We start from the raw sequence: 13,249 nt of genomic DNA on the forward strand, positions 1-13,249 counted from the left end.
CTCAATAGGAAAAAAATCAAATTATCTGATTAAAAAGTGGGCAAAAGATTTGAATTGATATTTCTCAAAAGAAGACAAACAAATGGCAAACAGGCATATGAAAAGGTGCTCAACATCACTGATCATCAGAGAAATGCAGATCAAAATTACAATGAGATATCATCTCACCCCAGTTAAAATGGCTTCTATCCAAAAGATAGGCAATAACAAATGCTGGCAAAGATGTGGAGTAAACTAAACCCTTGTACACTGTTGGTGGGAATGTAAATTAGTACAACCACTATGAAGAACAGTTTGGAGGTTCCTCAAGAAATTAAAAATAATGGCTGGGCATGGTGGCTCAAGCCTGTAATCCCAACACTTTAGGAGTCCAAGGCAAGTGGATCACCTGAGGTCAGGAGTTTGAGACCAGCCTGGCCAACACGGGGAAACCCCGTCTCTACTAAAAATACAAAAAAAAAAAAAAAAATAGCCAGGCATGGTGGCGGACGCCTGTAGTCCCAGCTACTCGGGAGGCTGAGGTAGGGAGAATTGCTTGAACTTGGGAGGTAGAGGTTGCAGTGAGCCAAGATCATGCCACTGCACTCCAGCCTGAGCGTCAAGAGTGAGACTTTGTCTACAAAACACTAAATAAATAAAAATAAATAATGTTACCCCATATGATCCAGCAATCCCACCCCTTGGTATATACCCAAAAGAAAGGCAATCAGTATATTGAAGAAATATCTACACTCCCAAGTTTTTGCATCATAATTTACAATAGCCAAGATTTGGAAGCAACCTAAGTGCCCATACACAGATGAATGGATAAAGAAAATGTGGTACTTATACATAATGGAGTACTATTCAGCCATAAAGAAGAATGAGATCCTGTTATTTGCAACAACTTGGGTGGAATTGGAGGTCACTGTGTTAAGTGAAATAAGCCAGGAAGAGAAAGAAAAATATTCCATGTTATCACATATTTTTGGTATATAAAAATCAAAACAATTGAACTAATGGACATAGGGAGTAGGAAGATGTTTATCAGAGCCTGGGAAGAGTAGTGAGGGGGGTTGGGGATGGAAGTAGGGATGGTTAATGGGTACAATAAAAATAATTAGAATGAATAAGACCTAGTATTTGATAGTACAACAGATTATAGTCAATAATAATCTTATTTTATATTTAAAAATAACTAAAAGTAAAATCGGATTGCTGGTAACATAAAGGATAAAAGTTTAAGGGGATGGCCCTACTCTTCATGATGTGATTATTACACAATGTGTGCTTGTATCAAAATGTCTCATGTACGACATAAAAACATAACATCTACTCTGTACCAACAAAAACTTTAAAAAGAAAGAAATTCTGGAGGCCAGAAGGCAGTGGGCAAATTTTTCAATGTGCTAAAAGAAAAAAACTGTCAACCATGTTTCATATAGCCAGCAAAACTGCCCTTCAAAAATAAGAGAGACGTTAAGGTGTTCCCGGATAAATATAAGCTGAAGACATTCATTACTACTAGACCTGCCTTGCAAGAGGGAGTCCTGCAAGGTAAAATTAAAGAACACCAGACAGTAATTTAAAGCTGTATGAAGAAATAAATGTATCAGTAAGGATATACCATGGATAATTATAAAATCTTGTAGTATTGTGACAATGGTTCGTAACTCAACTTTTGTTTTCTCTTAAGAGACTAATACATTTAATGAAAACAATTATTAGTCTAAAAGCTAATTTGGTTTGTAACCACATTTTGTTTTCTACATAATTTATGGGACTAATGTGTTTAAAAGTAATATTAGTTTATGTTTGGGGGCACAAAGTGTATAAAGATGTAATTTTGTGACAGTAACGGAAAAGTTTGGGGACATAGCTGTAAAGGAGCAGAGTTTAAAGAATATAAAATATGAATAACTTTATATATAGACTGCATCATAAAATAATATCCTGAATAGATTTGGTTAAATAAGTACATTATTAAAATTTCTGTTTCTCTTTAATGTGGGTACTAGAAAATTAAACTTTTAAAGTCGTTTCTGATGGGTTTCTGGGTGTTTCTGATGGGCAGTCAGGGCTGAGAACTGCTGCTCTATGGGGCTGGGTTAAATTTAAGTTTAAATTTTTTTAGCAGGAGTATTTTATAGATGATGCTGTGGACTTCACATTGTATCATATTTGAAGCACACTGGTTGTCCCACTTTTAGTGATTATAAGATCAGGCAGTGGATTCAGGTGGTGGCAGCCTAGTTTCTCCTATGGAAAAGTTCCTGTCAGCCTTTCACTTAATGGCTTAATTGGGTGAGCATTGCCTAAAGCAGTTGATTAATTAGGGTTTGTAATGGGTGATTTCCCAGCTGTTAGTCATTTCATACTTATTGTCTGGAATTAACTATAAAGAAGAACTTTCCCTCGTCAGTTAGGGTTTTTTGGTGGTTGCCCTGAAATTCAGTTCTTATGGAATATTGTTAAGTTTTAGAGTAAGACACTGATGTCCTACCTCTTTTTAATAGTTTCTAATGACATGATGATTTTTGTTTCTTATTTTTCCTCCTTTTATTATTTTGAACTCGTTACAGTTAGAATTCTTTTGCGATGCGAATTAACTTACATAAGATTTATAAATAAAGGGATGATGTCAATGTAGCAAGGAAATCCCTTGATTCATAGGTTAATGTGTCTCAACAAGTGACAGCAGCTGAATCAAAATACACGAATACAGTCAAATACTACAAGCCACCAACAGATGGCATTCTCTCATTGTACATTATCACCTTGCATTCCACTGGTTTCATTTAACTAAGAGTTGGAGGTGCTTGCTCTCTATTTACTCCATCTTTGTGCATTTTTCCCTTGCCTTCATGGCAAGCCTCAACCCCAGCATCCTCAACCCTTCCTTACTCTTCTGTCAAAGGCTTTCAGTTTGTTGTTGTTAAAATCCAGATTTATTGCAATATTTCTTTTCTATATAGGAATTTAACAAACCTTTTAAATTGAGTTTGTAATTTTATTAGGATTGTTATTGTTTTCCTCTGTGTTCTAGTTAGAAAGATGATTAGGTTTTGAATTGTCATCTTCTGATCCTGACCTCCCCATAGGTCACCCATTTTCTGTATGATATTACAAAACACTTCTTGTTTGTTTTGTTTGTTCCTGCATTATAGTAGAAATGTTTTTATTGTGCTTCTATCACTTACATTTCTTTTTATTTTTGATGCTCAAATTGCCCCATTTTTGTCTAACTGAGGCTCCTTCATGTTGAATCTTGTGTCCTTCTAATATGAACCATTTGTTTTTGATAACTCTTACTTTCTAGCACAAGATATCTCAAGCTCATCTTGTATATTTAGTGCCCCACACCTGCATCATTCACTCCTCTAAGGAGCCAGGGTTTATTTTACATTTTAAAATGGGGCAAATAATGAGTCACTTGATTTTTTTTAAGTTCTAAATTACTCATTAATGTCTCTTTCTTCTTAAAGGATAGTGTCAAGTTCTAAAGTGCAGCCAGGGTTGAAAACCATTGCCACTTTCAGAGACTTGTTTAGATTTAGGTTTAACTTTTTGGGCAAGAATATTTCATTGGTAAATAGGTAAATAGCATAATTTTTGGACATCTGTCTCCTTTTAAGGTTGCTTCTTTCAGTATGTTTTCTTTAAAGGGAAATAATTGTAAAGTTATATAAAGTAAATCTTTATCCCATGACTATGTCTAAAGTTAAAAAAGAAAATAACACGAATGAAGAACATTGTAATATTAATTATGAAGAAGTTAGGATATTCACAAGCCATATACATGTTTTCCAATTCCAGGAAGCTTTAAATGAATAAAGAAGAAGAAATTCTCATTACTCCTCTTGGTATTAAATTGCTTTTGTAACTTCTCTGATATTGTTTTATTAACAGATATTTATTGAGAAAGTATGGTGAGTCAGGCCCAGTTCTAGGCGCTGGTGATTCAAGAATGAATTAAACATATAGTTCCTACCCTTATAGAGTTTATGTTGAGTAGAGGGCAAGGACCAACAATAAACAGATAGCATCTGTCAGATACCTCTTCCAAAGTAGTAAAGAGAAGCTGGAGGTAGGCAGTTCTGTTTTCCTGCTTTTCCTAAGGGAGTCAGGGGTTAGAGTATATGTAACACCTTTATCTTTGGTGACTTTCCCTTTCTTTGACCTTCAGTAATTGCTACCTAGGTATTCTTTCCATTAACATAAAATTCTATATTACTATAGTTATTTTCATGAAGATTGATAGCCTATGATTTTCTCAGTGTGCCGTGTCACAAATAGTACTGGAGCACATTTAAGTACTCACAACCAATACTGGAGTACATCTTAAGAATTACACAAGGCCAGGCGCGGTGGTTCATGCCTGTAATCGCAGCACTTTGGGAGGCTGAGGTGGGTGGATCACGAGGTCAAGAGATCAAGACCATCCTGGCCAACATGTTGAAAGCCCGTCTCTACTAAAAGTACAAAAATTAGCTGGGCATGGTGGCGTGTGCCTGTAGTCCCAGCTACTCAGGAGGCTGAGGCAAGAGATCACTTGAACCTGGAAGGCGGAGGTTGCAGTGAGCCAAGATCGTGCCACTGCACTCCAGCCTGGGTGACAGAGCGAGACTCCGTCTCAAAAAAAAAAAAAAAAAAAAAGAATCACTCAAATCAGACAGTAAGTGGTAAGTGGAAAATTACAACAATTTGCTATATTGCTGATGCTAGTAATTTTTCTAGCATCAGAATTGCTCACTCACACTTTCAAAACTTTCCTCATAGCCCAAGGGCTTTAAATATATTATCTTATCAAAATTAAAAATTACTTCAAGTCATGGACCTTTGGAGTTGCATTGGAATATTTGGAACCACAGATGTTACATCCTTAGATTTCAGGGGTTAGATCCTTATAAATGTCCAACAGCTGAAAGTATAACCACATCATGAGCATTGGCACAGCATCTGGGGTGAGGAAGAAGCAAAGTAGAGGGGAGAGGATAACCTTCAAGCCTGGAGCCACAAGAAAAAGAATCAAATAAATGAACAAGAGAATAACTTTGAATTGGCGAAGTATTACTATCAAAGTCTAGAATATGGATTTCTAGATCTTTTAGAAGACCTCGTACCACATTTTCTTTGTTCACTCACTACTGATGGGCACTTATGTTTATTCCATAACTTGGCTGTTGTGAATAGTGCTACAGTGGACATAATTGTGCAGAATCTCTTCAACATACTGATTTCAAATCATTCAGGTACCCAGAAGTGGGATGGCTGGATCATATGGTAATTCTATTTTCAGTTTTTTGAGGAACCACCATGCAGTTTTCCATAATGAATGTACTAATTTACATTCCCACCAACAGTGTAGAAACATCCTCATTTCTCCACTCATCTTTTCTTTTCTTTTTTTTTTTTTTTTGAGACAGGGCCTCTGTCATCCAGGCTGGAGTGCAGTGGCACAATCACAGCTCACTGCAGCCTTGACCTCCAGGCTTAAGTGATCCTACCACCTCAGCCTTTCAAGTAGCTAGGACTACAAGCATGTACCACCTTGCTCAGCTAATTTTTAAAACTTTTTTGTATAGATAGGTTCTCACTGTGTTGTCCAGGCTGGTCTTGAACTTCTGGGCTCAAGTGATCCTCCCAAAGTTCTGAGATTACAGGTGTGAGCCACTGTACCCAGCCAAAATTCATTTATGTTTTATGTACACCTTATACACATAAGTCTGAAGATAATTTATACAATATTTTTTATAATTTTGTGCATGATACAAAATTTTGAGTGTGTTTTAATTGCAACACTTCACATGAGGTCAGGTGTGGAATTTTTCACTGTGGTGTCACTTTGCTTCTGAGAAAGTTGTGGATTCTGGAGCATTTTGGATTTTCAAATTAGGAATGCTCAAGTTGTATATACATTATAGAGGTAGCACAGTAATGATGATCCAGGGAAACCATCACTAAGAAGTTGATATTTGAGCAGGGTTTTTCAGGAGTTCCCCACGTGACCAAGGAATAGAAAGAAAGAAAGGGTATTCTGGGTACAGAGAATAGCACATACAGAAACATGGATGCAAAACATCATGTGAGGAAGACCAGTGAGGTAAAATTTTAAGTCAAGTACTATTTGAAGCAAATCGTTTTTCTGGGAAAACTGAAATAACTTTTATTGGGACTGTTCCATTTTTTACCTGGGATGAGCCTCTATTTAAAAATTAATATTCCGATTGGGCGTGGTGGCTCACAACTGTAATCTCAACACTTTGGGTGGCTGAGGTGGGTGGATCACTTGAGACCAGAAGTTTGAGACCAGCCTGGCCAACATGGTGAAACCCTGTCTCTAGTAAAAATACAAAAAGAAAAAAAAAATTAGCTGGGCGTTGTGGCACATACCTGTAGTCCCAGCTACTTGGGAGGCTGAGGCAGGAGAATTGCTTGAACCCAGGAGGCGGAGGTTGCACTGAACTGAGATTGTGCCACTGCACTCCTGGGCGAAAGAGCAAGACTGTTTCAAAAAAAATTAATATTTCTGTAAAACACCCTTCATTATTAGAGGAGAGAGGTAAATATACCCTTCTTGATGGCTCAAAGTCATGTGATAAATCTTCACAAATTGAATTTTAGCAAATTACATAATGAACAAGTGAGATATAGAAAGCTGTTTTTGAAAGAGACAGTAAATAACTGCATTTTTGCTGAATTTTTTTCAAAAACAATGAGAAAATAATTTCCTCCTGAAACGATATAAAGCGTCCATAGTGAAAAGTCCTTGGTGTTTATAATTAATCCAGAGTCTTATTGTATTGCATTATATTGTATTGCATTGTATTGCTCTGTACTTAGTCAAGATAAACTAATAGACCGGCTGCAGTGGCTCACACCTGTAATCCCAGCACTTTGGGAGGCCAAGGTTGGCGGATCACTTGAGCCCAGGAGTTTGAGACCAGCCTAGACAACAGGGCAAAACCTGGGTCTCTATAAAAGATGCAAAACTTAGCTGGTCATGGTGGTTGCATGCTTGTAGTCCCAGCTACTGGGAGGCTGAGAGGTGGAAGGATCACTTGAGACTCAGAGATTGAGGCTGCAACGAGCCATGATTGTGCTACTGCACTCCAGCCTGGGCGACAGAGCAACCCTGTCTCAAAAAAAATAAAAGATAAATTAAAAATAATCATATGAGTCTTATGAGGGAGGGAAAGTGGGTAAATGGACACAAAAAAAATTAGAAAGAATAAGACCTAGTGTTTGCTAGCACAACAGAGTGACTATAGTCAAAAGTAATTTAATTATACATTTAAAAATAACCAAAAGAGTATTATCAGATTGTTTGTAACACAAAGGTTAAATGCTTGAGGTGATGGATTCCCCATTTACCCTGGTATGATTATTACATGCCTCTGTCAAAATATCTCATGTAACTCATAAATATACACACCTATTATGTACCCACAAAAATTAAAAATACAAATTAAGGCAAGGCATAGTGGCTCACGCCTGTAATCCCAGCACTTTAGGAGGCCTAGGTAGGCGCTCCACCTGAGCCCAGGAGTTTGAGACCAGCCTGGGCAACATAGGGAGACCCCGCCTCAGCAAAGAGTGATGGTGCACACCTGTGGTCCCAGCTATTGGGAGATGGAGGTGGGAGGATCACTTGACCCTGGGAATTTGAGTTTGCAGAGAGCCATGATCGTATCACTGCACTTCACCCTGGGTGACAGATTGAGACCCTACTCAAAATAAATAATGAATAAAATAAAATAAAAATGTTTAAAAAACATAAGAAAAATTATAAATCTAAAAAGAATAAAGCATCAGTGGCAAAATACATATTTATACATAGTTATGAATTATATATTTAGAAGATATAGGAACTTTTCAGGGGTTAGCTAGGTTCCACAGAATAAATTGTATTTATTGACTTTTTCTGTCATTCCCAGAAGGACTTGCTTAAGATGTGGAACTATTTTTCCTTTGAAAAATAAAACAGCTCTTTGAACCTTAACTGAAAACTATAGTTTTGTTTCTAACAATTTTGCAGGAGAGCTAGACTCCATTTTTCAGTTGAGAAGTTTTGGGTTTATAAATCCACAGTATTTTGAATTTACATATATCCATCAAATACACATTCAGGTCAAAAAATTGAGGATATATTTATAGATCACATGAAATAGCCAATTGATAAACTGACACATACGTCAACATAATTACATATAAGAAACAAAATTTTACTTTCAAATGACAGATTTTTATCTGCAGAGTAAAAGATCTTTATGCAAAAGCAAGATAGAGGAGATTCCTCAAGGATCTAGAAGCCTATTAGAAGCGGTAGAGTATAATAAGGAAGGAGAATTTAAATTGTACTTTCTATACTCCCTCTTCTATGAGGATGTTTCTCATGAAAACTACAACAATCACAAAGACTTTTAGATGATTGCTTCTTCACGTATTTTAAGTGTGTCCTCCACTGCCTACCTAATACATTTACTTGATATTCGTTGTGAATATATTTTTTTCGATTGTCATGAAAATGCTGTCCGTGAATATTTTGCAGATTTAATCTAAATTTTTAGTTTAAAACTTTACTTTTTGTTATGAGGTGGTATATGGGAAATCAGCAAGAATCCATATAAGGCCTCAAGCTGGAAAAGTTTTCATTTAGTGGTCATGTGAATTATATGTTGAGGAGATTCAGCAATATGTCCAATATTATGATAACCATTTACAGTGAATAAATATGAAACAAAGCTACCGTTCCCAAGTAGCTTATAATCAAAGTAGAAGATCCATAAAACATTAAAATATTTAAATAATTGATTATTAAACTGTATGAGACTCACCACAAAGCAATACAAGTTGTATCATTGTGAACAGAAGTAGTCTGAAGATCTTTTCGAATGAGGTAGAAAACCAAAAGAACCTTGGAAGATGGATGGAATTTGGATCTTTTGAATAATAATAGGGATATAGTTAATGCTGGGAGAGCAAACACAAGGAGATGATACTTTCAGTGTATAAGTAAACTTGAGTTTTAAATATTTTTCCCTAATAGAGTAGCCTTGCAACTTGCTGTCTCAGTAGCTGTATTTAAGCTTTACAAGTGTCAGAACCTGCCTCATAGTTAGGCTTGACTGGATTATATGTAGCTTAAAATCCATATAAAGAGATCCTTTCTTTAATGGTTTTGAGTCATTGCAGTAATAAAATTAAATTATGTTATTTTGAGAAGCCAAATTCCTAAATAATTCCTATTGAGAATCTAAAGAGAAATTATCTATCTAGAAATTTAGAGGTAGATACCACGGGGAAGTTCTGAAAATTAGCTGTGATAATTCTACTCTTGCTACTTTCATAATAAATTAAACAGTTTTCCTTCAGTGTACCTTCTATAGAATCATTGTCTTAATGAGGGAATGAGAAATTGACTTATAGATAAGTGATAAATAGAATCTATCACATATAAAATAATTCAGTTTTTAGATAGCAGACTAATTTCAGCATTGGTTAGCATTTTAATTAAAGTCAAATGTCACATATTTTAACCTTTATCACTGATTTAATACCATTAAATAATAGCAATTATTGAGTAACTTAAGTTGAAACCATTTTTAAGCTTGGCCAATTAAGAAAAATATCATTATTCTTCATATTAACATTAATTGGATTACCTTTGAGTAGGTTTTGATATTAACTGGGTATATTTCACTTGTTCTAGGGTAAGTGGTAGGATTCTTTGGTTGCAAACAACCACAATCAATTCTTGTGCACAAATAGAATTCATTATAAAGAGATCAGCAGCTCACAGAATGGATAGAAAGACTGGATAAATAGGCTTAGAAAGAAGGAGACTGAGCTACCCCAGAGGGCTGGAAGCAGGAACTGCAGTAATGTCTCTTTGCTGGTACATTCTGTTCAGGGACCCACCACTAAAGTGAATAAACTGCTCTGTTTATTTATTACTCTAAACAGACTCTAGTCAAGATTCAAAAATACAAGGATGAGGTTCTCAACTTAACTTAATTCACTTGCCTGTCCCATAGTGTACTTGAGTGATGAAAGAAAAGGCCTTACACAAGGATTCTCCAGGAACCTTTCCTCTTCATAGTGGCAGAGCAAGTGCCAGGATTTGTTGTCTCCACATTCCTCACAAAAGATGGGAAATAGATGCTGTGTGGGAGGAAAACTACACCTATTCCATTAGCTGAGATCTTTTATCTCCTGTTTCAGAGGACCAGGCAGCTGCTCATAGAAAACATCATTAGGATTTCTAAGGACAAAGGTCTAAAGACAGTACCTTAATTTGTCATTAGGCAAAAATCTCCGTGGACAATAGTTATATAAAAACTGTTGTGGAACTTCAGTTCTCTTTTCCATTTAATGAGGTATAAAACTTTTCACTTTCCAGAAAGAATATATTCTAAATTGGAGGTTGTTAATTACTATTATTAACTGTGTTCTACCAGTGCCATTTCCTCACAGATGCACCTTTGCTTTTCTCACATTCTGCCTGAATATTTCCTGTAAGCCAATTATGACATTGAAATTGAGTTTTCCAGTAATGTTCACTAGATTCCCTCAAGAAATGGAATATATGATAGAGAAAAACCTAAGAGAATCCAAAATAATGGTGGTTTATCATAATAGATTCTCTGGCCAATAATTCCTATTTTTGTTTTGCATGATTTTCCTGTCAGTCTTAAAATTTTCCCAGCCACTCTCTTTGTAAAGCTTTACTGTTTTCATTTTTGAAAAAATGTTTAAGTACTTTAAAAGTCCTTTTAAAAATTTCTTTTCCACTGAAATGAAATTGTGGCCACTAGGCTAAAATCATATCTTACTAGGATACATTCTCACTAACTTTGGCCTATTTTAGTATTCCATCCTGAGACAGAATCTAGTGTTTACATCAGATAATGTTTCCTTGTGGACATAGTGGAACAAGTATTTTTCAGTGCACACAGATACCCCATAAAATCAGAAATATCCATCTGTAGCCTGTTAGAGACATATGAAATATAGTTACTCCATTAGTATCATTGTAAACAGCCAGGGGTGGCATGCAGGCTGATTTTCTTTAGTGCAGTATTGTGCTGCCCTTACCTCACTGACTCACCTCTCTGTTACCCACAACAGGACTTTTATCTGTGGAAGTTAGTGGCAGGCACATATTACTTCTCTGCTTCTGAATTGATGGCTCAGAACATTGGCACACTAAAGCCATGGACTCCTGTTGGAGGATGCAGGTTACCTAAATGGTACTTTAAGGCCTTTTATAGGTAGAGTAAGACCTTTGCTTTTAAATTCTTTTTTAACCATCAACTTAAATGTTGAATTAATCCTGTGACAATGATCAGTTGGTTTTTGAAGTCTGAAATTTTGGCAGAAAGCAAATTCTTTTCTAAGTTGATATTAGGAAGTAACAGTTCTATAAAAATTAAAACCATGGATTGTTATAATGGCTTCATTCTGTAGTTAAAACATTTACAGTGTTTTATACTGCTCAGTGTAGTTGTCATTGATTTAATCATTTTCATGAAGATTTATCAGTAGTCACTTCCATCAAAAACAGTCATGGGATTCAAGCCAGCAACAGTGTGTTAAAAAGAAAAGAAAAAATAGTTATGAGAATCTCATGGATTTTTTTATTTTATATTTTTTTGCAGTCAGTTTTTTTTTCATTTTAATCACTTTTCCTTTACTTGAATTAAAATACTTTAATAGATTGTGTCTGAGTTTTGAAGCTAGGAAATCATACACATGGAATCTTTACTTATTAAATATTTTAATTGGCTTGATAACCTGTATCTTTAAGATATCACTTCCTTTTAATTAAGATATAAAATGCTACTTGGGTCTTTTAGTACTTTAGTAATAATGTGAAAAGATAGTAAGTCTAAATTTCACAAGTAGTGATTTGTTGTAACCAGCGGAAAAAAAATGAAGAACACATATTGCAGGAGAAAGAACAATCATTGTCCCAACCATCCTTGCTGTAGTTCTGTTCACAATCTATTAACAAACCAATTTTATAAGATAAATTTTGGGGGCCTAAATTGATACCATTAGGTTCCTCTGCCATTGTAGAACAGTGAAGACAAAAGCACTCACCATCTTAATATTCACAGGACTGTGCTAAAGAATAATGATTTAAGATCGAGACAAGAGTTAACTGCCCATCTCACCAACCAGTGGCCTTCTCCAGGAGCTCTGGATGTCAATGCTGTTGCCTTGGATACGTTGCTTTACCGAAAACACAATAAACAGTGGTATGAGTAAGTGTAATACTTTTTTTTCCAACTAATTAATAGTTAGTTGTACCAAAACATATGGCTATCTACTTTGGTTTCTCAGTTATTCTTTCTGAACTTATTATTATCTTAGAGCAAAGACAAGATTTCGGACTACTTTGGTAAGGTTAGATTATCTGAGAAATTCTTATGCCATATTGTACCAGCTGTCTACTTTTCCTTTAGTTGAATCTTCAGCCAGTCCTTCAGTTAAATATATGAGCTTGTGTTTAATGAGCCATCTATTTTTGAATTCTATCATTGGTGTGGTATTTGCCTTAGGACTAATTTTCCCACTTGTCATAAAACACAATTTGAAGGAATAGAAAGATATTTACTTGTTCCTGGTGGTTCTGAAGAATTCTATTCATTTTCAATAAATCTGATTTTTAGAAACCGTAGAAGATATAATCACTTCACCTATGGGCCACAAGATCTTTTTCTTATTTCTTTGTCCCGATGTTCAGGACTATTTCATTTAGTTACAGTATCCTAATGTTGAGAGAGCTGCAGAGTCTTAGGCTGTTTTCCTTTAGGTAATCTTCATCTTGAAACTTGTAAGTTGTATTATCCTCTTTTGGCTTTTAGCCACTTTTCCACCTTAATCATTTTTTCACTATTTTTATTTTTCTATCTTAAGCTAATTTTCTGTTTTTCCTGATATCCCTCCCTCTCATCCCCTTCTGTTTGATTTTTTCCCTTCCCCCTCTTTCTCTCTTTTCTCGTATTTTCTCTAGTTTGTCTTTCCTCCCTTTTTCCTATCTCTTTTTGTTTCTTTCTCTACTCTTTTAGAGTCCTTGCTTGTAAATTTCCCTGTTAGAGTCACATATCTATGTGTGCTTGTTTTGGTACCTTTCACTAGGTTATTAGTAGCCAGATATTTCTACAAGGAATATTTTAGTACAAACAATTTCCACCTGCTTTACTCTGTGATGTGTTTTGTCTATCAAAGGCAGAGTTCAAAGTAAATTTGACTATTTGTTATT

General features: G+C 35.5%; 1 protein-coding gene across 8 annotated transcripts in view; it reads left to right on the top strand.

The window, feature by feature from the left end:
- RUNDC3B (RUN domain containing 3B) overlaps positions 1–13,249 on the top strand; it is a 203,899-nt gene that overhangs the window by 166,874 nt on the left and 23,776 nt on the right. For 4 of the 8 annotated variants that reach the window (NM_001394228.1, NM_138290.3, NM_001134405.2 and 1 more), the window contains one exon: positions 12,102–12,248. The exons of 2 other annotated variants lie outside the window; for them this stretch is intronic. In NM_001394228.1, the coding sequence (NP_001381157.1) occupies positions 12,102–12,248 (147 nt within the window). The remainder of the gene's footprint in view (positions 1–12,101; positions 12,249–13,249) is intronic. 2 more of the 8 variants (NM_001394224.1, NM_001394226.1) reach the window with 1 other exon arrangement.

Source organism: Homo sapiens, chromosome 7 (genome assembly GCF_000001405.40).
Source record: "Homo sapiens chromosome 7, GRCh38.p14 Primary Assembly".
Lineage (NCBI taxonomy): Eukaryota > Metazoa > Chordata > Mammalia > Primates > Hominidae > Homo > Homo sapiens.